Source organism: Homo sapiens, chromosome 3, assembly GCF_000001405.40.
Source record: "Homo sapiens chromosome 3, GRCh38.p14 Primary Assembly".
Classification (NCBI taxonomy): domain Eukaryota; kingdom Metazoa; phylum Chordata; class Mammalia; order Primates; family Hominidae; genus Homo; species Homo sapiens.
This window is the reverse complement of record NC_000003.12, coordinates 43,795,874-43,823,600: the sequence shown is the minus strand read 5'-3', so window position 1 is coordinate 43,823,600 and position 27,727 is coordinate 43,795,874.

Genomic DNA, 27,727 nt, shown 5'->3' with positions numbered 1-27,727 from the left:
AAACCTATTTGGGGAACTGGAGAAGAAACAGTGATTTTTTTTAAATAATCTGAAATTTATACTGTGTCCCATGGCAGTGGTTCTCAAACTTTCAGTGTCAGAAACATTACATTTAACATTTCTTAAGGTCTTCAAAGAGCATTTTTAATATCAGCTATAACCATGGATATTTACCATGTTAGAAATTGAAGCTAAGAAATTTTTAAAATATATTTATTTTCCTGGTTTATTTTAAAATAACAATAATAAAACCATTCCATGTTAATGTAAAATAGTATTTTTATAAAAATATTATATTTGGGGGCTGGGCACAGTTGCTTATACCTGTAATCCCGGCACTTTTGGAAGCCAAGGTGGGAGGATTGCTTGAGCCCAGGAGTTCAAGACCAGCCTGGGCAAAATGATGAGACCCCCGCCTTATTAAAAAAAATAAATAAAAGACTATATTTTTTAAAACAAAAGAATATAATGAGAAGAGTGATATTATTTTACATTTTTGCAAAGCTCTTTAATGTCTGATTTGAAGTAGAAATGTAGTTGGAAAAGACAGAAGTATTAAAATAGCCTTTTCACAAAACAGTAGCTATTCTTCGGTATTATACTAAAACTCAACACATTATAGTTTGTTCATTTATAACAAATCGATGTGGAATCTAAAATTATATCAATAAATTTTAAACATTCTGTTACATAAAAATTGAATTAATCTAACATTAAAATCATATACTGTTATATTAAAATCTTCCATCTTAAATGGCTCTTTTATCCAGGGTTAATTTTGTAGCATCATGCATTGGTTATTTGGAAAATATTGGTTAAATTGGTTATGCAGATTTTCCAAATGTTGAAACATTTCATTGGTATGCATTGATGGATATGCAGTATCAAAAAAACCACATATGTTAATATCATTGCCAGTCTTTTGAGAAAAGTATTTAAGCATCGGGACACTGTCAAGCTCAGAAAGGCAAATACAAATTTTCCAAAGTCTAATTTTTGCTTGAAAGCTTAAATGTTATCAGTGGTAACAAATACCATCAGTTATTTTCCTTAAAATGACATACTTGCTGAATTAGAGAGAAAATGTCTGCCAAATACCTAACTCTATAATTAGTTAATTTAATTAAATATTGTGTTCTGTGAAAAAAGTGGCTGGTTCATCTCACAACTAAAATAATCACACAATTGCTTTTCCTCAGGATGAGCATTGCATTTCAGTATGCAGCGTAAGTGCTTTATGTGTACTTCCCATTTCATCACATAGAGTACTTAAAAGACACATACTCAGGAATTGTGTTTCAATAAAATCAATAATTTTTACTGGTTCATCAAAGATATCCTAAATTTCCACTGGCATCCTTTTCCTGCAAGTTCAAGGAGGGGAAGAATACAACGACCACGTGCACAGTTTGGTACCACTGCCTCACTTCATGTTAAGGCACCAGGAGCGTCACCTACTCTTACTTGTGTACCATCAGTGCAAACATCAACTCAGTGAAAAAAGGTAAATGAAGTCTTATGGTTATTACAATAATTGCTTTTGGCCAGGCACAGTGGCTCACACCTGTAATCGGCACTTTGGGAAGCTGAGGTGGGAGCTTGAACCCAGAAGCTTGAGACCAGCCTGGGCAATATAAGGAGACCCCATCTTTAAAACAAACAAACAAACAAAAACTAGCCCGGTATGGTGGCATGTGCCTGTAGTCCCAGTTTCTTTTGAGGGTGAGGTGGGAGGATCGCTTGAGCCCAGAAGATCAAGGCTGCAGTGAGCTGTAATTGCACCACTGCACTCCAGCCTGGGCGACAGAGAGAGACCCTGTCTCAAAACAAACAAACAAAAATCTCTCAGACCCTTCAAAAGATTTCAGGAACCCCTAGGGGCCACAGACCATACTTTGAGCTTCACTGATCTATGGTTTATATTTTCCTATAAATGTCTTTTTTGGTGCTCACAGATGCCCTTTCAGATGGGTGCTCCTGGGACACCCCTTGTAAGGATAGGAAAAATGAGTCTCTGGGAAATTTACTGTCTTGTCCCTGGCCTCAGAACCAAGAACCAGGAGGGACTAGAAGGGAATATTTGTCAATACTGTCATGAGCATCAAGAAGGAAAGCACCTTGTCTCCATCCTGACCGCACCTGCGAATCCCCTGGGCTGCACATGGCCAGACTTAGAAGGTGAGGAGGATGCCCAAACATGGGTGTATGTGGAGCAGCCCGGCATGCCAAGGCGACAAGCCATCCTTGCAGGGGGACCTGAGGAACAAGCCACCGGTGGAGTAAACAATCCTCCCCATCAGCGTCTCGATCTCTAGTGGACAACTCTTGAAAGATTCTTGGAGGTTGGCATGACTGCCTCCTCTCTCCATCCATCTCAGGGAATGAAGGGTCTGCAAGAGCAGGAGTGGGGAAGAATAAGACAGTAACTGTCAGTCTTTGAAATAATAGTTATTATTTTAGTCTTCAAATGGCCTAAGATTTCTCTAACCGACTAGTGTCAAAAAGCACAGCCCAAGCCAGAAGATAGGCCCGCTTCCCATGGCTTTCCTACAGCTACACTCAGGGGTGGGGGTGCTTGGAAGATATCTAATTCCATGACCTTTGTGTTGCTGCTCTGCCGGCACATTCCCAGATGGCCTGGGAAACCAAAGGAAGGAAAGAAACACAGGCCACCAAGCATCCCTGGGGCTTCCTACATGGGCCACATCATGGATCAGCAATGGGGAGTGGGTCAAGGCCAGGGGAATCTGTGGGGTAGAAAACCAGAATAGGGGGCACTATCTTTGGCAAGAAGGGGAGAAATGAGAGAGATCCTGGGTAAATGACACCTACAAATTTCCACAGGGCTGAACACTCCGTTTTCTCTTTTTATGTGGCCTGTCCAATATCTGTATCTTTAAATCCCTGTAGGTATGAGCTCCAGTTCTTGTAATCTAAAGGATCCCCTGGTGGAAAGAACTGATTGTCTAGACAGGCAGCAAATGAAATGGCAGTAACTGAAATAAGACAAGACTAAAAAATGTTGGAGATTTCCTAGAGCCTGGACAAGATAAGTGTTCAATTCCAACTCTTCTTCAGACCTCATTTTCCAACCCAGGCAGAGATGACAAAGAGGCCACAGAAAGTTGGATCCAAAGCTTTGATGTTCCCTAAACTTTTACCCTTGTCACTTGCCTTAAGGAAGTTTCAGCTTTTGATAAACAAGCTCAGCAAGTCTCAGGATACAAAATCAACATAAAAAAAATTGCTAGCATTCCCATACTCCAACAGTCAAGCCTAGAGGAAGGCAATTCCATTCACAATTGCCACAAAAAGAATAAAATACCTAAGAATATAGCTAACCAGGGAGACAAACGCTATCTACAATGAGAATTACAAAACACTGCTCACAGGAATCAGAGATGACACCAACAAATGGAAAAAACATTCCATGCTCATGGATAGGCAGAAGCAATATCATTAAAATGGCCTTACTGTCTAAAGCAATTTATAGATTCAATTGCTATTCCTATCAAACTACCAATGACATTCTTCACAGAACTAGAATAAGCTATCTTAAAATTCATATAGAACCAAAAAAGAGCCCAAATAGCCAAGGCAACCCTAAGCAAAAGTAACAAAGCTGGAGACATCATGCTACCCAACTTCAAACTATGCTAAAGGGCTATACCAAAACTGCATAGTACTGGTACAAAAACAGACACATAGACTAATGGAACAGAATAGAGAGCCCACAAATAAGGCCTCACACCTACAACCATCTGATCTCTGGCAAAGCTGACAAAAACAAGCAATGAGGAAAGGACTCCCTATTCAATAAATGGTGCTAAGATAACTGGCTAGCCACATGCAGAAGATTAAAACTAGACCCATTCCTTACACCATATACAAAAATCAACTGAACATGGATTAAAGACTTAAATGTAAAACCCAAAACTATAGAAACCCTGGAAGACAACCTAGGCAATACCATTCTGGACCTAGGAATGGGCAAAGATTTCATGACAAAGATGCCAAAAGCAATTGCAACAAAAGCAAAAAATGACAAATGGGATCTAATTAAACTAAAGAGCTTCTTCACAGCAAAAGAAACTATCAGCAGAGTAAACAGACAACCTACAGAATGGGAGAGAATTTTTCCAAACTATGCCTCTGACAAAGTTTTAATATCCAGCATCTATAAGGAACTTAAATTTACAGGAAAAAAGCAACCCCCTTAAAAAGTGGCCAAATGACATGAACAGACAGTTTTCAAAAGAAGACATACATACAGCCAACAAGCATATGCAAAAAAGCTCAACATCATGGATCATTAGAGAAATGCAAACCAAAACCACAATGAGATACCATCTCACACCAATCAGAATAGCTATTATAAAAAGTCAAAAAAAATTAAAAATTTTGGCAAGGTTGCAGAGAAAAGGGAATGCTTATTCACCATTGGTGGGAGTGTAAATTAGTTCAACCATTGTGGAAAGCAGTGTGGCAATTCCTCAAAGAACTAAAAATAGAGTGACCATTCAACCCTGTAACCCATTACTGGGTATATACCCAAAGGAATATAAATCATTCTACCATAAAGACACATGCACACTTATGTTCATTGCAGCACTATTCAGAATAGCAAAAACATAGAATCAACCTAAATGCCCATCAATGGCAGATTGGATAAAGAAAATATGGTACCTATACACTGTGGAGTACTACACAGTCATAAAAAAAGAACAAGATCATGTCATTTGCAGAAACATGGATGGAGCTGGAGTCCATTGTCCTTAGCAAACTAACGCAGTGACAGAAAACCAAATACCTCATGTATCTCACTTATAGGTGGGTGCTAAATGATGAGAACACATGAATACATAGAGAAGAACAACAGACACTGGGGTCTAACCTAACAGAGGATTCAGGGTGGGAGTAGGGAGAGGATAAGGAAAAATAACTAATGAGTACTAGGCTTAATACCTGGGTGATGAAATCATCTGTACAACAAATCCCCATGGCACAAGTTTACCTATATAACAAACCTGCACTTGTACCCCTGAACTTAAAAGTTAAAAAGTATGTTTCAGCTTGTATAAAAGGGAAGGAGAGGGGCAGGGCCAGTAGTTGTGGTATTATTCATCTATCCCTTCAACAAATATGATTCTGACTATACAGTGGTGGATTTATGGGCTGGTAGATATAAGTGGAGGCTGGAAGGAAGGATAGGGAGTGGAAGGAACCAAACTCACAAAGTCATAGACAAAGAGATTTTGTCTGTGTTCAGGGGACTTTGAGTGGCTCAGTGTGGCCAACTTTCAGAGTGGAAATGCACAGAAACTCTTGTGTAGCATTAATGTCATTAAGCAGCACTAACCTGGTGTTCCAGATATGCATCTTTCCATTTTCGGGACTTAAGAGCCATTTGAGGACATTCTGCAGTCTTGGAGGAGGGAAGAAGAGAAAAGTCGCAGCACAAGGCACAAGACAGAGTGACAAGTAAAAACTGGCCCCAAGGGGACAACACCAGGGCTCAGTAATTGTTTCTACCTCCTCAGTTCCTGGAAGCACAAGGTGGAGGTTGACTCACAAGAGTGAGTTTGTTGGTGCATGAAGTCAGAGCATGACACACAGAGAAGCTGACTTAATCATGGGTCCTCAGAGCCACTGGGTCATATCTCCTCAAATATCCCCTTACCAGGGACTCTGTGAGCCAAGGCCCAAGAGTGGAGAAGACAATGCACTGGCAAGAGTATGGACAGACATACAGGTGGGACAGAGTCATGCCAGCATTGAAGGACAGGTCCCAGGTCAGCTGCAGCACACAGGTGCAGAGTGGCAGAACCAGCTCGTTTAGGGGTCTCAGGGGTCTCAATGCCCATGCCAGGCTCTCTCTGCTCCATATTGCCAGAGGAGACCTCTTGCTTAGAAAATGGAATTTTAATGCATTGTGGAGTGGAGGAGGTTGAAGAAAGAGATACTTTCAGCATGTAAGGCTGCTGCTTGGGTGCTCTCGTGTTGGCAGGGCACTGGAAGGAGGAGCTCTGAGCACTCAAGGTAAGAAGGATGTACTAACTGGAATGGAAAGAGAAAACACAGAGGGGCACATAAGTAAAATTGAAAGAAGCATATACTTTTTAGAAACAGTTTTTCTACTTTCCAATGGCCTTTAGATTTGGTTTGGAACAAGGACAAGCACCACTAAGCATCATTGTGATGCTATTCCATTCTCAAAAGGGGCAAGTAAGCCGTGGAACGATAGGTATCATGCATATCTTCCAGTGCTGTGAAATTGTGCTCCAAGACATGCTGCATGGGATGAGAGGACACAGCCAGGAGAGCATCTGCATTGGCCACATGCCTGTTTGCTCTCACAGCCTTCCCCACCCTGGCCCTGCTCTGTCTTGCATCACCACTTCTCATTTTCACCTCCTCTCTGCCTCAGTGGCATCTCCAGGGGAGGCTGCATCTACTTTGTGGCTCCAGCTCACTGTGGTTCTGGCTTCCCCTGGGTGACCCACTGATGGCACCAGCTTCCTGTTAGGTTAATCTCTGGGTTGACACTTTCCCTTGTTGCTTGTGTTAAACTCCCTTTGTTTGAAATTCCTGGAGTGGTTCCTATTTTCTAGACTAGCCATTGACTGATACAGCAGTCCTACTTTTATCTGTCTTATACGTTGGGATTTCACATAACATTTAATCAGGAATAAAAATTTCTATTGGAAAAAAGAGACTAAGAAACATTTGAATATGACCATTCTTGTTTGGCCCAAATGTAGATGAGACACCTGAAGACCAAAGATGTTAGTAAGTAGAACAAACACACAGGGAGAAGTTTGCTGGTTGAGGTTTGCTAGTTGTCCCTTTATTGGCTTTTTAAAATTACTAAATAAAGCAAGTAGTGCAGAAGTATATAAAGTAAAAATTGAAAGCAGGTCCTACATCCGAGACTCATGACCTTGAGGTAACCATAGTTTGGTGTGTTTTATTGGCTTCTTGAATTTCTAAGTAGACACACACACACACCCCACATATACATATGCATATGCATATGCATATGCATATACACTTTTGAAATAGGGTCACTCTGCATATCCTGATCTTCAACTTCCTTTTTTTCACAGAACAGTATATTATGGATGTCTTTCCATGTTAGCATCTATAGATCTACTTCATTTATGTTAGCAGCTGCAGAGCATCCTGTTGTATTGAGGTTTTATAACATTATCTGATGAGTTTGAGTTCCCTATTAGCTAATAGTCATTTTTTGCCATTACTAGAAAATAGATATTTTGCTATTACAATCCATTGCAATTACAAAGAAAGTTGCAGTGACTTTCCTTGTACCGTGCAGACAGCTTTGTGCTCATGTGTGTCTGTGTAGGGTGGGTACCAGGAAGTAGAACTTTGGGTGCAGAGGTTAGGAGCCAAAATGCCTCCAAAAGGCTGTTCATATTACATTCCCACCACCAGTGAGACAGCTCATTTTCCCACATCTTCACCAACAGCGGACATTTTACTTTTTCACCAATTGAGAAAAGCTCTCCGAGGATCACTTAAGAAGCATTCACAGGCCTGCCTTAAAATATCCACCAGCAAAGGACAACACCTTTGGCAATGACAGAGAAGCAAGAAATTGCCCCTTTATGCACTCCACTGGGGATTTCTTAACAGATGTAAGAAGAAGCCTTCCTAATATTCAGTCTTGACTGTATGTGTATGTTGACTGTGTCTTCTAGCAATCCGATTGTTCATGGTAGAAAATCCAACTGTAAAAATGAAACTAGATGTAGATCTAATTCTTGTTGTTTTGGAAAGTTGTCTTGTCTCTTGGATAGCTTTTTGCTTTATTGTTTATTCTGCAGTTTCGCTCTAACGTATTCAGGCAGAATTTTTTTTTTTTTAATCCTGCATCTAAGTCAGTGTGACTTTTGATCCTGGGTATTCATGCCTTTCTTCAGGTCTTGAAAATTCTCTCTCATGATCACTGTGAGATTCGTCTTGGAAAAGTCCTCCCCAATGATGAGCCCATAATTATCTTTCTTCAAACAGAAGCCCATGTGCCCCATGGTTAAAGTAAAAGAGAAGTCTGTAGGAGGTGCCTGAAAAATTCGGGTAGACCTCCACAAGGCAGACAAGCCCCAACAGGAGGCAGGCCAGGAGTGATCCCTGTAGACTGCACAAGGTGGTGGACAAGAACATGAGGACCTTGGGGAGCAACCTGAAGGAGCTTCGTCCCAGCTGGAGCTCGCTATACGTGTGATTCTGAGCAAGTCCACATAGAGATGATTATGGTGCCCACATGGCACTCTGCCATCTTAACATGATACTCCTCTATGTTCACAAAATACTATGATACCCCAACCCTGTCAGTAAGTTTGTTTTTATTACTGTTCCTACTTATTGATGAAGAAATAAGCCCATCTAGGGTAAGTGGTATAGCTTATCAATAGTATATCTTAATCTTTCATAAAAACCATGTTGAAGATTTTTTTCTTTATACTTTCCAATGTCCCTTATGTAAGTACCCTTCAAAATAAATTCCATTGAGAATTTAGCTGCAGATAAAAACCCAGATAATCGGAATTATATAACCTGGATTTATTTTCCCATTTTATCGTGGCAATCAGAAAATGATGGAATATATTTAGTTCTCAATCTTAGTAGTTACGTATTTTGGCATTTTGCACTACGGACTAGGAAAGAGAATAAAATGTAGAGGGCATCGTCCGTGCCCTTCAGCAATTACAATTTTGTGGGGCAGCAAAAAGGTGGCCCAAGACACATACAGTGGATATTGGGTCAGGACATCCCTAGGCAGGGCAGCCTGGTTCATTTCAAGGTACTTGGACTGGTGTGTCTGATAACCTCTGACCCTCATGCCCACAATTTCCATGAAGGAAAGGTGGTGTGCCAAGTGTAGCCAGGAAAGAAGTGCCCAGAACACTGGCCTTTTGTAAACACATGTCAGACAGGAAGCAAAAGAGAAGAGAGGAAGGCTTTCAGGCAACTCTGTGTGGTGCAGGGTCAGGAGTTCCATACCTGGGAGCCTCCCAGACAACAAAGTATTCCCTCTACCAATCTCCCAGCCAACTCCTGGGACTGAAATCTACAGGTGAGAAAGTTTCAGCTTGCCAAGAGAGGCCAAACTCGAAAGAAGGAAATTAGGGCATGTGAATGGGCTGGGGTGACCTCAGAGGCCAGACTCTCCCAATTTCGTCTGCAGCAGTTTCTGCTTGGCTGGGCTTGGGAGATTCAGGAGGTTTGTTGCATTTCAGTCAGGCTGCTCTTCCAAGGCATCCAAGCCTACTGATGAACCCTGCTCCTTGTGGTGCAATGGGGAATCCTCTCTCCAGATCATCTGCATTCCCAGGTGGGAAAATAACCATGGGGAAGGCCTGGACCCTCTGGTTCCAAGGCGTTGTCATTCTCACAGGAAAGCTGTTTGCTCTGGCAAGTGAAGCCTGAAGTTGATTTATGGCTCATTTTCAGTACACAATACTGTAATTTTGTGAAATGATAGCAGTATCGATTCCAGATTTTCTCTTTGCTGAAACCCAGTACTGTGGTGCTAAATGGAGCCTCAGAGCAAGTAACGGCACTTCACACTTGATCGATTTAATCAGTCTGATCCTCCACTTTGATGCAACTGCCAAGGGCTGCCTTAAGAGGCTGGGGTCTTGTTGTCTGGTTCCAGGATCTCAATTCTCCAGGTGGGCCCTGACTATGAAACAGGGCTGACTCCCCAATAAGGCAGAGGGTCTGAACAGGATGGCAAGGAACCTATTCACTGCAGCTATTGGGAGAGTCAAATCCACTGTGAAGAATAAATTTAGGGTCTTCCTTACATTTCCTGTCTTGTTCTAGTCCAGATCTCAGGACAGGAAATGAAGGATGACATTCAGGGTTGAAAACAAAACAGAATGATTGAATGAGTGAATGAAAGAAGGAATGAATGTGGTGGATGAATGAGAGGGAAAGGAAGAAAAAGAAGAGAGGAAAGGAGAGAAGGGAAGAAAAGACAGAGAAGCCAGGAAGAAAGGGAGAGTGGCAGGGAGGGGGGAGTAAGAAGAAATCTTATTAGTCCAGAATGAGTGCTGTCAAGGCAAAATGAGTCATGATTTTGAATAGAGTTGATTTATCTTCCAGTTCCAACGTTAGTTTGAAATTAGGATTCTTTATGGTGGGGTTTGGCAGGGGAGTGCCATGATTTGATTTGCCTTTCAAAAAGCCCTCTCAGGCCTCAGAGTGCATATTGGGTTGGTGAGGAGATAGAGAAGAGGTGGGGAGACAAATTAGAGGGTGGCTCTGGCCCTCCAGGCAAGAAGTGATAGTGGCTTTGCCCAAGGTGGAGAAGGAAAGCATGGTTGGACTGGTGTTTAGTTTGAGGTAGAGCAGACGCGGCTTGGTGACGGATAGATTCTGAAGAAGGAAGGACAAAGGAGATGACTCCAAGATCATAAATAGAGGGGCCATGTCCTGATAGTGGGAAGCGTGAAGGATTGAGGAAGAGAGAAAGGCTTCCTTCCTGACTGAGGCAGCTGGGATGCACTCTTCTTAAGAAGGGATTGCCCCATTTATTCCATCTTGGTGTGTAGACTGTCTACCAGCTCCCATGCCAGCTGCTGGAGTGTGTGGACTGAGTGACATTGAAAGGGGTTGCCCTGCTAATGCCAGGGCTCCACATCCTGCCAACGAAGAAGGCTACAGATCATTAACATGGAGGGAGAAGCAGAATGGGACTGAACCTTGGAGAAATATATTAACATCCACTGCGGTGGCCTCAGAACACTTGGGAAAGAAATCCTGAGTTATTGCAGGGCTTATAATGGAACCATGATTTTGATAATTTATTTACATAACCTACTTTTAAAAGTTGGGCAGTCACATTCTTTTGACCAAACTGTTATAAATCTTGTTTGATCCTCAAACCAGGATTCCAAAGTTGGAAGGAGCCTCAGAGGTCACCTATTCCAAATGCCTCCTCTCCACCTGAATCCCCTTGAAGCATCTCACCAGGGATGGCCATCCTAATCAGGCTTTTCCAGGCATCATACAAGCAGTTCAAGGCAACAGGGCCCATTCCTGCCACCGTAAGAAGGAAAGGGAGTCCTTCCAGAACACCCTTTTCCATGCCCCACTTCACTGCAGCAGTAAGATCCCCCTTGGCAGATATGCTTGACTGATTATGGAGGGTTTCTCCCAGAAAATTGCCTGGAAGTCACATCTGGTGGCCACAGACATCATGAAACCTTTTTGAAAAGCAGTTTTGCAATATCAACCAAGATGCTTTGACCCATTAAATCCACCTCTGGGAATTTCTTCTAAGGAAATCTTCTGAAATACTTCAAAAGGTCATATGCACAAAGATGTTCACTATTGAGGTGTTTAAAATAATAAAATAAATAGTGGAACCTAAGTGTCCAATCACAGGGATTGAGACGAATACATTGTTGTATATCCAACCAGATAATTAGGAAGCTGATGGTCGAGTTCATGCAAAAGTACCCATTATCTTATATGGACATTTGATCTATTTTAACAATGTCGTTACTTCAGCAAAATTAAATTAATTCATGCTTTTGTAAATTCCCAGAACCCTAAGGGATTGTGTTGTGAAGTGTTGTTGTGTTTTTTAATCAAATGCATAATGGCAGATGGTAATGAGAGTCAACACAATTTCTGTAAGGTTGCTGGTAGAAAAGAGGCCAATGAAAGGAACTTTGATCATTCCTACAGTTTCTAGGATGAACAGCATGAACATGCGACCTCTCACTCCTCTACAGATTCCTCTGGTCCTCTGAGTCTGAAGGTTACAAATAGTCCAATGTTGAGTGAGACTCAATTTTCTCATCTGAGAACTGGGGTAATCCCTGACTTCATTGGATTGTGGTAAGGGATAAACAAACTGTGGGCACTTGATACCATGCTCAGTAAAAGCAAAAGTCCCACCACAGCCTCAAGCAGAGGACAAAGGCCTTCTGCAGTGACTTCCAGGAGAAGGAGACCTGCTAGCCATGCACTGAAGAGAGGAAAGTCTACAACAGTTGATCTTTATATTCTCTTCTGTTGAAAAGCATTTGTTCCTTACAAAAACACTTGGCTACTCATTTAATCATCTTGACTAATCCTAAGCCTAAAGCTGGAGGTGAGCAGTGGCTTTACCAGGGGCCCAAGCTCTCAGCACTCTAGGGGATGAGCTGGACTAAATCTCATTCCAGGATGAAATCCAGCATGCCTAGTCCAGCCCACAAGCTCAGACCCCCAAGTTCAGCCTGCGTGTCTTCCCATACCCTTCTATCCTGTCCCCTCACTGCTGTCTTGCAGCAGTTCTCAGCCTAAGGTAAGAGCTGTCCATTGAGCAGCTCTCACTGCTAAATTCCGCCACCTCCTCACTACTGGATGATGGGATTATTCACCTCCCTCCTCTGGTCCTAGAGCTGAGAGGCTCCTGACCACCCCTGTCCCAGACAACAGGGGAGACATGCCAAATACTTTTCAAATTCCCACTCTGAGCAAAGCCCCCTGTGAAAAACTTGAGAAGAAGATACAGGTTTGTGTTTATTTCTCCCCAAATGCCTGTCAGTCCGGCAGGGGCAAGAAGCCATGTGCTGTCATAAAAGGCAGGAAGTGAGTCCTGTCATCAATTAGGTCATATTTGGACAGGTAGGAATGGGAAGGGATGGGCAGGCATTCCAGGTGGAGGAAACAGCTTCTTGAGTAAAAGCATGGGTGCCAAACACTGGGCCAATGGCCTGGTTCCATTAGCTGAAGCATGGGGGTGGAAAGAAGAGATGCGAGAAGGCTGGAAAAGTGAGCCAAGGCTGGGCTGCAGAGGGCCCTTAATGTCATGAGGAGGCACCTAGACAGCATCAGCTCCAATAACAGCAGAGCCTCTGGCATGAAGGACTGATGGCTATATGATTGGGGCAATGGACCAATACCCTTTCAAGACCTCTCTCTGCCTGATATGAGGTTCTGTCCCCCAAAACAACATGAGTTAAAAACCACAGGCAAGCAACCTTGCGGCCAAATGGGCCAAGGATACAAATTACCGTCTTGTAGTAAAAGTAACCAGGGGAGCCAATCCACCCAACTGAAGGTGTGCAGCATCCCCGAGAGTCAGGAGAGGCAGTCTGGCATCATCAGTCATTGTAAAGACCAGAAAGGATGACCCACAAACTCCACGTCTTTATATTCATCTTGTAAAACAGTGGCCCTATAAGAAGAGGACTTGGGCATCATAATTGGTTTTACAAAAATGTTTTCACATGTAACATTTTTACATTTTGCTTTATTACCTAACAACACACCATGGAAATTTCTCAAATAAATATATGCCATTCGTTGTAAGATTGTGCATTATTCTATAATACAGCTGTATTATTCAAATAATAAAAAACTAGGAAATACCACTTCCCTATTATTGGGCATTGATTAATTTCCCCTTTTATGTTGTATGTAAATTTTTTTTTTTTTTTTTTTGAGATGGAGTCTTGCTCTGTTGCCCAGGCTGGAGTGCAGTGGCGCAATCTTGGCTCACTGCAACCTCTGCCTCCTGGGTTCAAGCAATTCTCCTGTGTCAGCCTCCTGAGTAGCTGGGATTACATGCACCCACCACCAAGCCTGACTAATTTTTGTACTTTTAGTAGAGATGGGATTTCACCCACCATGGTAGCCAAACTGGTTTTGAACTCCTGACCTCAAGTGGTCCACCCACCTCGGCCTCCCAAAGTGCTGGGATTACAGGTGTGAGTCACTGTGCCCAGCTGTTGTATGTAAATTTTGAAATATATAAATGTCTTTATACAAACTGCTGCTTGTATTTTTATGGGATAGAGTCCTCAGAAAGATAATGTGCATCAAATAGTATGTACATTTTAAATTTTAATAAATATTTCCAGAATTGCTTTTCAAAACAACTGTCACAATTCTTTTTTTTTTTAACTTTGTGGTTTTATTTTTTAATTTTAATTTTAATTTTAATTTTTCCATAAGTTATTGGGGTACAGGTAGTATTTGGTTACATAAGTAAGTTCTTTAGTGGTGATTTGCGAGATTTTGGTGCACCCATCACCTGAGCAGTATACACTGCACCATATTTGTAGTCTTCTGTCCCTTGTCCACCCCTGCTCTTCCTCTCAAGTCCCCAAAGTCCACTGCATCATTCTTACACCTCTGTGTCCTCATATCAGTGAGAACATATGATGTTTGGATTTCCATTCCTGAGTTACTTCACTTAGAATAATAGTCTCCAATCTCACCCAGGTCACTGCAAATGCTGTTAATTCACTCCTTTTTATGGCTGCATGGTATTCCATCATATATATATATATATTCCATCATATATATATATATTCCATCATATATATAATATATATTCCATCATATATATAATATATATTCCATCATATATATAATATATATTCCATCATATATATATAATATATATTCCATCATATATATATTCCATCATATACATATATTCATCATATATATATATTCATCATATATATATATATATCACAGGTTCTTTATCCACTCGTCGATTGATGGGCATTTGGGGTGGTTCCACGATTTTGCAATTGTGAATTGTGCTGCTATAAACATACATATGTAAGTATCTTTTTTGAATAATGACTTCTTTTCTTCTGGGTAGATACCCAGTAGTGGGATTGCTGGATCAAATGGTAGTTCTACTTTTAGTTCTTTACGGAATCTCCACACTGTTTTCCATAGTGGCTGTACTAGTTTACATTCCCACCAGCAGTGTCAAATTGTTCCCTGTTCACCACCATATATCTACTGTTTTTTGATTTTTTGATTATGGTCATTCTTGCAGGAGTGAGGTGGTATTGCATTGTGGTTTTGATTTGCATTTCCCTGATCATTCATTAGTGATGTTGAGCAATTTTTTCACGTTTGTTGGCCATTTGTGTATCTTCTTTTGAGAATTGACTATTCATGCCCTTAGCCCACTTTTTGATGGGATTGTTTATTTTTTTTCTTACTGATTTGTTTGAGTTCATTGTAGATTCTGGTTATTAGTCCTTTGTCAGATGTATAGATTGTGAAGATTTTCTCCCACTCTGTGTGTTGTCTGTTTACTCTTTTGCTGTGCAAAAGCTCTTTAGTTTAATTAGGTCCCAGCTATTTATTTTTGTTTTTATTGCATTTGCTTTTGGGTTCATGGTCATGAAATCCTTGCCTAAGCCAATGTCTAGAAGGGTTTTTCCAATGTTATCTTTTAGAATTTTTATAGTTTCAGGTCTTAGGTTTAAGTCCTTAATCCATCTTGAGTTGATTTTTGTACAAGGTGAGAGATGAGGATCCAGTTTAATTCTCCTACATGTGGCTAGCCAATTATCCCAACACCATTTGTTGAAAAGGGTGTCCTTTCCCTACTTTATGGTTTTGTTTGCTTTGTCGAAGATCAGTTGGTTGTAAGTATTCGGGTTTATTTCCGGGTTCTCTATTCCGTTCTACTGGTATATATGCCTATTTTTGTACCAGTACCACTATGACCTCATAGTATAGTTTGAAATCAGGCAGTGTGATGCTTCCAAATTTGTTCTTTTTGCTTAGTCTTACTTTGGGTATGTGGGCTCTTTTTTGGTTCCATATGAATTTCAGAATCGTTTTTTTTTAATTCTGTGAAGAATGTTAGTGGTATTTTGATGGGGATTGCATTGAATTTGTAGACTGCTTTTGGCAGTATGGGCGTTTTCACAATATTGATTCTACCTATCCATGAGCATAGGGTATGTTTCCATTTGTTTGTGTCGTCTATGATTTCTTTCAGCAGTGTTTTGCAGCTTTCCTTGTAGAGGTCTTTCGACTCCTTGGTTAGGTATATTCCTTTTTTGTGTGTGTGGGTTTTTTTTCCAGCTCTTGTAAAAGGGGTTGAATTCTTGATTTGGTTCTCTGCTTGGTTGTTGTTGGTGTATAGAAGAGCTACTGATTTGTGTACATTAATCTTGTATATGGAAACTTTGCTGAATTATTTTATCAGATATAGGAGCTTTCTGGAGGAGGAGTCTGTAGGGTTTTCAAGGTAAACAATCATATCGTCAGCGAACAGTAACAGTTTGACTTCCTCTTTACCGATTTGGATGCCCTTTATTTTTGTCTCTTTTCTGATTGCTCTGGCTAGGACTTCCAGTACTATGTCGAAGAGGAGTGGTGAGAGTGGGCATCCTTGTCTTGTTCCAGCTCTCAGAGGGAATGCTTTCAACTTTTCCCCATTCAGTATTATGTTAGCTGTGGGTTTGTCATAGATGGCTTTTATTACATTAAGTATGTCCCTTATATGCCAATTTTGCTGAGAGTTTTAATCATAAAGGGATGCTGGATTTTGTCGAATGCTTTTTCTGCATCTATTGAAGTGATCATGTGATTTTTGTTTTTAATTCTGCTTATGTGGTGTATCATGTTTATTTACTTGCATATGTTAAACCATCCCTGTATCCCTGGTATGAAACCCACTTGATCATGGTGGATTATCTTTTTGACATGTTGTTTGATTTGGTTAGCAAGTATTTTGTTAAGGATTTTAGCATCTATGTTCAAGGATAGCTGTCTGTAGTTTTCTTTTTTGGTTACGTCCTCTCTGGTTTTGGTAGTAGGGTGATGCTGGCTTCATAGAATGAATTAGGGAGGGTTCCTTCTCTCTCTATCTTGTGGAATACTGTCAAAAGGATTGGTACCAATTCTTCTTTGAATGTCTGGTAGAATTCTGCTGTGAATCCATCTGGTCCTGGACTTTTTTTGTTGGTAATTTTTTAATTACCACTTCAATCTGGTTGTTTGTTATTGGTCTGTTCAGGATATCCAGTTCTTCCTGATTTAAGCTAGGAGGATTGTGTTTTTCCAAGAATTTATCCATCTCCTCTAGGCTTTATAGTTTACGTGTGTAAAGGTGTTCACAGTAGCCTTGAATGATCTTTTGTATTTTAGTGGTGTCAGTTGTAATATCTTACGTTTCATTTCTTAGTGAAGTTATTTGGATTTTCTCTCTTCTTTTCTTGGTTAATCTTGCCAATGGGCTATCAATTTTATTTATCTTTTCAAAGAACTAGCTTTCTGTTTTATTTATCTTTTGTATTTTTTTGTTTCAATCTCATTTAGTTCTGCTCTGATCTTGGTTATTTCCTTTCTTCTGCTGGGTTTGGGTTTGGGTTTGGTTTGTTCTTGTTTCTTTAGTTCCTTGAGGTGTGACCTTAGATGTCAGTTTGTACTTTTTTAGTCTTTTTGATGTAGACATTTAGGGCTATGAACTTTCCTCTTAGCACTGCCTTTGCTGTATCCCAGAGGTCTTGATAGATTGGGTCATTATTGTGGTTCAGTTCTAAGAATTTTTCAGTTTCCATCTTGATTTCGTTTTTCACCCAGTGCTCATTCAGGAGCAGGTTATTTAATTTCCATGTATTTGCATGGTTTTGAAGATCCCTTTTGGAGTTGATTTCCAGTTTTATTCAACTGTGGTCTGAAAGAGTGCTTGATATAATTTCAATTTTCTTAAATTTAATGAGGCTCATTTTATGGCCTATCATATGGTCTATCTTGGAGTAAGTTCCATGCGTTGTTAATGTTAGTACTGTCAATGTTAATGTTGTCAATGTTAGTATTGAAATGTGAGCTGAAAATTCTAAAAATCAGAGTGCCTCCTCTCCTCCAAAGAAATGCAGCTCCTCGCCAGCAGAGGAACAAAGCTGGACAGAGAATGACTTTGACAAGTTGAGAGAAGAAGGCTTCAGACAATCGGCAATAACAAACTTCTCCAAGCTAAAGAAGGATGTTCGAACCCATTGCAAAGAAGCTAAAAACCTTGAAAAAAGATTAGATGAATGGCTAACTAGAATAAACAGCATAGAGAAGACCTTAAATGACCTGATGGAGCTGAAAACCATGGCACGAGAACTACGTGATGCATGCACAAGCTTCAGTAGCCGACTCAATCAAGTGGAAGAAAGGGTATCAGTGATTGAAGATCAAATGAATAAAATGAAGGAAGAAGAGAAGTTTAGAGAAGAAAGAGTAAAAAGAAAAGAACAAATCCTCCAAAACATATGGGACTATGTGAAAAGACCAAATCTACATCTGATTGCTGTACCTGAAAGTGACAGGAAGAATATAACCAAGTTGGAAAACACTCTTAAGGATATTATCCAGGAGAACTTCCCCAACCTAGAGAGGCAGGCCAACATTCAGATTCAGGAAATACAGAGAACGCCACAAAGATACTCCTCGAGAAGAGCAACTCTGAGACACATAATTGTCAGATTCACCAAAGTTGAAATGAAGGAAAAAATGTTAAGGGGAGCCAGAGAGAAAGGTCAGGTTACCCACAAAGGGAAGCCCATCAGACCAACAGCAGATCTCTCGGCAGAAACTCTACAAGCCAGAAGAGAGTGGGGGCCAATATTCAACATTCTTAAAGAAAAGAATTTTCAACCCAGAATTTCATATCCAGTCAAACTAAGCTTCATAAATGAAGGAGAAAAAAAATCATTTTCAGACAAGCAAATGCTGAGAGATTTTGTCACCACCAGACCTGCCTTATGAGAACTCCTAAAGGAAGCATTAAACATGGAAAGGAACAACTGGTACCAGCCACTGCAAAAACACGCCAAATTGTAAAGACCATCAATGCTAGGAAGAAACTGCATCAAGTAACGAGCAAAATAACCAGCTAACATCATAATGACAGGATCAAATTCACACATAACAATATAACCTTAAATGTAAATGGGCTAAATGCCCCAATTATAAGACACAGACTGGCAAATTGGATAGAGAGTCAAGATCCATCAGTGTGCTGTATTCGGGAGACCCATCTCACATGCAGAGACACACATAGGCTCAAAATAAAGGGATGGAGGAAGATCTACCCAGCAAATGGAAAACAAAAACAAGCAGGGGTTGCAATCCTAGTCTCTGATAAAACAGACTTTAAACCAACAAAGATCAAAAGAAACAAAGAAGGCCATTTCACAATGGTAAAGGGATCAATTCAACAAGAAGAGCTAACTATCCTAAATATATATGCACCCAATACAGGAGCACTGAGATTCATAAAGCAAGTCCTTAGAGACCTACAAAGAGACTTGGACTCCCACACAATAATAATGGGAGACTTTAACACCCCACTGTCAATATTAGATTGATCAATGAGACAGAAAGTTAACAAGGATATCCAGGAATTGAACTCAGCTCTGTACCAAGCGGACCTAATGGACATCTACAGAACTCTTCACCCCAAATCAACAGAATATACATTCTTCTCAGCACCACATACCACTTATTCCAAAATTGACCACATAGTTGGAAGTAAAGCACTCCTCAGCAAGTGTAAAAGAACAGAAATTATAACAAACTGTCTCTCAGACCACAGAGCAGTCAAACTAGAACTCAGGATTAAGAAACTCACTGAACACTGCTCAACTACATGGAAACTGAACAACCTGCCCCTGAATGACTACTGGGTACATAATGAAATGAAGGCAGAAATAAAGATGTTCTTTGAAACCAATCAGAACAAAGATACACATACCAGAATCTCTGGGACACATTTAAAGCAGTGTGTAGAGGAAAATTTATAGCACTAAATGCCCAAAAGAGAAAGCAAGAGAGATCTAAAACTGACACCCTAACATCACAATTAAAAGAACTAGAGAAGCAAGAGCAAACACATTCAAAAGCTAGCAGAAGGCAAGAAATAACTAAGATCAGAGCAGAACTGAAGGAGATAGAGACACAAAAAGTCCTTCAAAAAATCAATGAATCCAGGAGCTGCTTTTTGAAAAGATCAACAAAATTGATATACCGCTAGCAAGACTAATAAAGAAGAAAAGAGAGAAGAATCAAATAGACACAATAAAAAATGATAAAGGGGATATCACCACTGATCCCACAGAAATACAAACTACCATCAGAGAATACTATAAACACCTGTATGCAAATAAACTAGAAAATCTAGAAGAAATTGATAAATTCCTGGACACAGCCACCCTCCCAACACTAAACCAGGAAGAAGCTGAATCCCTGAATAGACCAATAACAGCCTCTGAAATTGAGGCAATAATTAATAGCCTACCAACCAAAAAAAGTCCAGGACCAGACAGATTCACAGCAGAATTCTACCAGAGGTACAAAGAGGAGCTGGTACCATTCCTTCTGAAACTATTCCAATCAATAGAAAAAGAGGGAATCCTCCCTAACTCATTTTATGAGGCCAGCATCATCCTGATACCAAAGCCTGGCAGAGACACAACAAAAAAAGAGAATTTTAGACCAATATCCCTGATGAACATCGATGCGAAAATCCTCAATAAAACACTGGCAAACCAAATCCAGCGGCACATCAAAAAACTTATCCACCATGATCAAATTGGCTTCATCCCTGGGATGCAAGGCTGGTTCAATGTACGGAAATCAATAAATGTAATCCAGCATATAAACAGAACCAAAGACAAAAAACACATGATTATCTCAATAGATGCAGAAAAGGTCTTTGACAAAATTCAACAGCCCTTCATGCTAAAAACTCTCAATGAACGGGGTATTGATGGGACATATCTCAAAATAATAGCTATTTATGACAAACCCAAAGCCAATATCATACTGAATGGACAAAAACCAGAAGCATTCCCTTTGAAAACTGGCCAAAGACAGGGATGCCCTCTCTCACCACTCCTATTCAACATAGTGTTGGAAGTTCTGGCCAGGGCAATCAGGCAGGAGAAAGAAATAAAGGGTATTCAATTAGGAAAAGAGGAAGTCAAATTGTCCCTGTTTGCAGATGACATGATTGTATATTTAGAAAACCCCATCGTCTCAGCCCAAAATCTCCTTAAGCTGATAGGCAACTTCAGCAAAGTCTCAGGATACAAAATCAATGTGCAAAAATCACAGGCATTCCTATACACCAATAACAGACAGAGAGTCAAATCATGAGTGAACTCCCATTCACAACTGCTTCAAAGAGAATAAAATACCTAGGAATCCAGCTTACAAGGGATGTGAAGGACCTCTTCAAGGAGAACTACAAACCACTGCTCAATGAAATAAAAGAGGACACAAACAAATGGAAGAACACTCCATGCTCATGGATAGGAAGAATCAATATCGTGAAAATGGCCATACTGCCCAAGGTTATTTATAGATTCAATGCCATCCCCATCAAGCTACCAATGACTTTCTTCACAGAATTGGAAAAAACTGCTTTAAAGTTCATATGGAACCACAAAAGAGCTCTCATTGCCAAGACAATCCTAAGCCAAAAGAACAAAGCTGGAGGCATCATGCTCCCTGACTTGAAACTATACTACAAGGCTACAGTAACCAAAACAGCATGGTGCTGGTACCAAAACAGAGATGTAGATCAATGGAACAGAACAGAGCCCTCAGAAATAATACCACACATCTACAACCATCTGGTCTTTGACAAACCTTACAAAAACAAGAAATGGAGAAAGGATTTCCTATTTAATAAATGGTGCTGGGAAAACTGACTAGCTATATGTAGAAAGCTGAAACTGGATCCCTTCCTTACACCTTATACAAAAATTAACTTAAGATGGATTAAAGACTTAAATGTTAGACCTAAAACCATAAAAATCCTAGAAGAAAACCTAGGCAATACCATTCAGGACATAGGCATGGACAAGGACTTCATGACTAAAACACAAAAAGCAATGACAACAAAAGCTGAAATTGAGAAATGGGATCTAATTAAACTAAAGAGCTTCTGCACAGCAAAAGAAACTACCATCAGAGTGAACAGGCAACCTACAGCATGGGAGAAAATTTTTGCAATCTACCCATATGACAAAGGGCTAATATCCAGAATCTACAAAGAGCTTAAACAAATTTACAAGAAAAAATCAAATAACCCCATCAAAAAGTGGCTGAAGGATATGAACAGATGCTTCTCAAAAGACATTTATGCAGCCAACAGATACATGAAAAAATGCTCATCATCACTGGCCATCAGAGAAATGCAAATCAAAACCACAATGAGATGCCATCTCACACCAGTTAGAATGGTGATCATTAAAAAGTCAGGAAACAACAGGTGCTGGAGAGGATGTGGAGAAATAGGAACACTTTTACACTGTTGGTGGGACTGTCAACTAGTTCAACCATTGTGGAAGACAGTGTGGCGATTCCTCAAGGATCTATAACTAGAAATACCATTTGACCCAGCCATCCCATTACTGGGTATGTACCCAAAGGATTATAAATCATGCTGCTATAAAGATACATGCACACGTATGTTCATTGTGGCACTATTCACAATAGCAAAGACTTGGAACCAACCCAAATGTCCATCAATGATAGACTGGATTAAGAAAATGTGGCACATATACACCATGGAATACTATGCAGCCATAAAAAATGATGAGTTCATGTCCTTTGTAGGGACATGGATGAAGCTGGAAACCATCATTCTGAGCAAACTATCACAAGGACAGAAAACCAAACACCGCATGTTCTCACTCATAGGTGGGAATTGAACAATGAGAACACTTGGACACAGGATGGGGAACATCACACACCAGGGCCTGTCATGGGTTGAGGGGAGAGGGTAGGGATAGCATTAGGAGATATACCTAATGTAAATGAAGAGTTAATGGGTGCAGCACACCTACATGGCACATGTATACATATGCAACAAACCTGCACATTGTGCACATGTACCCTAGAACTTAAAATATAACAAAAAAAAATTAAAAAACATTCTTGGCTTGTTTCCACTTTTGGGCTGTTACAAGTAATTCTGCTAAGAATATTCATGCACAACTTCAGTTGCTTCTACTTTTTGGCAGTATGAATAACATTGCCATGAACATTCATGTACATCTTCTGTGATTATGTTTTTATTTATCTAGGGCTTATACCTAGGAGTGAGATTGTTAGGCCCTAGGGTAACTCCGTGTTTAACGTTTGAGAAACTGACAGACTCTTTTCCAAAGCAGCTGCACCATTTCACGTTCCTAATGTATGAGGGTTTCAATTTCTCCATATCCTCACCAATACTTGTTATGATCTGCCTTTTTTATTATACCCATCCTAACAGGTATGAAGTGGTATCTTATTGTGATTTTTATCAGCATTTCCCTAATGACTAATGATGTTGAGTATCTTTTCATGTGCTTATTGGCCATTTATATGTCTTCTTTGGAGAAATGTCTATTCAGAGATCCTTTGTCCATTTAAAAATTGGCTTATTTGTCTTTTTATTGTTGAGTTGCAAGAGTTCTTTATATAATCTGGATACAGGTCGCTTATCAGGTATATAATCTGCAAAAAAAAATTCCCATTCTGTGGGTTGTGTTTTAATTGTCTTGATGGTGTCCTTTGAAGCACAAGCATTTTTGTTTTGATGTAGGCCAATTCGTTTATTTTTTCTTTTGTTGCTTGTGCTTTTAGTGTCGTATCTAAGTAACCACTGCTGAATCCAAGGTCATGAAGTTTTAATTTATGTTTTGTCCTAAGAGTTTTATAGTTTTGCCTCTTATATATAGGTATAGGATCCATTTTGAGTTAAGTTTTCTATGTGAGTTGAGATAGGGGTCCAAATTCATTCTTTTGCATATGGATATCCAGTTGTCCCAGCAACATTTGTTGAAAAGACTATTCTTTTCCCATGTAATTGTCTTGCATTTCTGCTTCACTGATTCCAGTTAGGAGTGGAGGTTCAGTTCCTTACTCAACAGGGTAGTGGGATGAGGGGAAAAGGGAGAGGATTAAGGCCAGTAGTGTGGAAAATCAATTGACCATAATGTAAGAACTTTTATTTCTTGGATCTCAATTCAATTCCATGGATCTATATGTCTCTCTTGTGACAGTACTACACTGTCTTAATTACTATAACACTGTAGTATGTTTTGAAATTAGAAACTTTGTTCTTTTTCGAGATTGTTTTGGCTATTTTCGGTCCCTTGTATTTCCATGTGAATTTTAAAATAAGCTTGTCAATTTCTGCACATAGCGCAACCTGAATTTTGATAAGGATTATATTTAATCTGTACATCAATTCAGGCAGTATTATTATCTTAACAATACATTATATGTCTTCTGATCCATGAACATGGGAAGTCTTTCTATTGATTTAGGTTTTCTTTAATTTCTTTCAACAATCGTTTGCAGTTTTTAGAATTCAAGGCTTGCACTTTTTTGTTAAATTTATTCCTAAGTACAGACGGTCCTCAGCTTATGATGGTTCAACTCACAAATTTTTTGACTTTACGATGGTGTGAAAGCAATATGCATTTACTAGAAACTGTACTTCTCTCACAATGCTGGGCACCTCCCAGTCAGCCACACATTTTTGACTTACGATATTTTCAACTTGTAATGGGTTTAGCAGGATGTAACCCCATTGTAAGTGGAGGATCATCTGTATTTATTATTTTTAATGCTTGTGTATATTGGATTTTTTTATTTTTTATTTATTTATTTTATTATTATTATTATTTTTTGCCCAATGCCATTCTCAGATTGTTCATTGCTGGTGTATAGAAATTTAGTTGATTTTTGTATATTGGTCTTGTATCTTGCAACCTTTTAAAACTCATTTATTAGTTCTAACTTTTTTACTCTTTAGGATTTTCTATATATAAGATCATATCCTCTGCAAAAAAATATAGTTTTAACCTCTTTCTTTTAATCTGGATTTCTTTTAATTTTTTTCCTTACCAAATTGTCCTAGCTAGCACCTCCAGTATAATGTTAAATAGAGGTGGTGACAGCAGACATCCTTGTCTAATTCCTGATCTTAGGGAGAATGCTTTCAGTATTTCACCATTAACTATAACATTATCTGTGGGTACCATACAAATTTAACAAAACAGCTTTAAGTTTCTGGGCTTTCTGTCTAGTTAAAACAGACTTTTCAAAGTTAAACATATGTTCACCTAAAATTTCCTCTAGAATTTTTATAATTTTATTTTTAATTTTATTTGTTGTATTTTTTAGTTCTATAATTCCTTTTTGGTTCTTTTTTTGTAATGTCTATTCCTTCGCTGAGAATGCCTATTTTTAAAGTTGTCTTATGAGAATTTGTTAAAACTTGATGTATTTTCATGATGGCTGCTTTAAAATTCTTACCAGATAATCCCAGCATCTAATTCATCTCAGTATTGATGTCTGTTGATTTTTTTTTTCATTCAAGTTGAGATTTTCCTGATTCTTGGTGTTATGAGTGATTTTTCTATTGTATTCTGGGCCTTTGGGATATTCTGAGACTCTGGACCCTATTTAATTCTGTTTTTAGCAGGCAGTCCACATATTGAGGTGTAGCATACAGAGCCCTTCTTTGGGCTGCACTGACATTACCTCAGCAAAAGTAGAGCACTGATCCTCGCTCATTGCAGAAAGGTGAGGTAGAGGTTCAGCTTGCCCCTTGGCCCCACTAGAGCTTCTTAGTGAAAGTGGGGTACCCACTGATACCACCTCATTGCCGTTAAGTAGCTGTGTAAGTTCGGTACCCCACTGGGCCTGACAGGCACCAGGAGAGGAGATGGGGGGAACAGAGTCCTATCTCCCACCACTCACTCCACTTCATGAGGCCAGATGGGTGTGGAGGTTCAGTTTTCTCTTGGGCTGCTGACACCAGGGGGAAAGGATAAAAGATAGTGGGGACAAGCCTTGCCTGGCACCACCTCTTTAAGTCAAGCATTGCTGGATGAGGACAGCGGATCATCTCACCACGGGACCCTTTTGACATTGCCCAGGCAGGGGCATTAGAGCACTGCCTACCTCTACTGGGTGAAGGATGGAAAATCAGCTCCTCTCTCAGTCCCAGAGCGGAATTGGAGTTACCAACTTTCTCTAAGTGGGGAATAGATCAGCTGCCTGCAGGAGAATTGGAGCGCCACCTCCACTTCCACCCAGAAGCTCACCAGAAGGGAATCAAAGCACAGAGATTATTAGACAGCCTGTGTTTTTCCTACCTTTCAGAGTCTTCCTATGCTCATTTGTTGTGTTATGTCCAGGGCTTTTTAGTTGAAAGAAGGAGGACTTAGGAGAAATTAATCTACTTCATCTTGGCTGGGAATGGAAGTTTTATTATTTTGTGTTTTATGTTTCAGTCTTCAATACATCTGAAATTTATTTTTGCATGAGGTGTAATGTACGGTCCAACTTTATTTCCTTTCTGATGGATAGCCAGTTGTATCATTCTAATTTATCAAAGAAAGCATCATTTTCTTATCCAATCTAAATAATACCTGTTCTGTATATTAAATTCCAATATATGCTGGGATATATTTCTAGCTTCTTTATTCTGCTATCACCATACTCTTTTGACAACAGGAGTTTTGTAGCATATTTTACTGTTACGCAAGGCAAGTACAACTATTGTTTTTATTTTTAGATTATTCTTGGATATATACCCTTCTTTATAAACTTCAAGATCATTGTGCTGTGAAGGTTAACTTCAGCACGACTGGAATTGGCTTGAACTGTCTTACTGAAATAAGAGATGAATCTTCATGGCATTCACCTCTAGTCAAGGTATGAAATGTTCCAATTAATAATGTTGCCTTGTAACCATGGTCTACACATATCCCTTCTGTTCATGTTGCATCAACTAAGTCAAATTATATGGTCATGCTTGACTTCAAAAGGGTGGGAATGTAATCCCGCTATGGGGAGGGCTTTGGGGTGTCGGTGAATATTAATCCACCTGTTGTATTAGTCTGCTTGGGCTGCCACAACAAAATACTACAGACTAGGTGGCTTAAACATTTATTTTCTCACCGTTCTAGAGGTCTAAGATCAAGGCGTCAGGGTTGGTTTCTGATGAGACCTCTCTTCCTGGTTTGCAGACAGCCACCCTTTTAGTGTCCTCACATGGCCTTTCCTTGGGGCTCGCTCAAAGAAAGAACTCTCTGCCATCTCTTCCTCTTCTTATAAGGATCCTAATTCTATGAGATTAGGTATCCACTTTTATCTCATTTAACCTTAATTATCTCCCTAAAAGCCTCATCTCCGAATATAGTCACATTGTGGGTTAGGGCTTTAACCTATAAGGGTTTTTTTTGTTTTTTGTTTTTTGTTTTTTCCGGCAGGGAGCAGTGGGGAGGAGAAACGATTCAGCCCCTAACACCTGTAATGTGTTATGGGATGCTATGATGCATTGTTCAGATCTCCCTTCCGTACTGGGGCACAGTACTGTGCTGATATTGCCACAGCTGCTGACTCACAGCTGAGTCCCTCTCCAGGAACTGCCCTTGGCCAAAGGAAGAGGCCTCACCCAATGTCATACCCTATTCTTGGGGCATCTTGCTTCAACTGAGACAACTCCAGGGCTCAGCTGTAGGACCAGCTGAGGTCTCCATGGCAGCTGCATCACACACAGCCCGACTTCTCCTCCACCGACTGCTGCTTTTCTCCCTTGTCCCTCAACAGAGGTTGATCCTAATTAACTCCCAATAAATTCATTGTGTGCCAGTCTCCATCTCAGAGTCTGGTTCCTGGGAACCTGACCTAGAATGAGCCATGTCCTCTCGAGTCCGAAACAGGCTTTTAACCACTAACCATTTTCAGTCTGTGGACACTTCTCTCTGCTCCAGCTGTCTCTCACCTTTCTGAGACCAGACCTGGTCAGTCTGGGGTGGGATTATCATAATCCCTTACCTCTCTGTCCTGGAAGATGCACACACATCAGCATCTGAATAAAACTTCGTAATTACTAATCTATTGAGACTACAGGATTGCAAGTCCGTGACTTCACCTT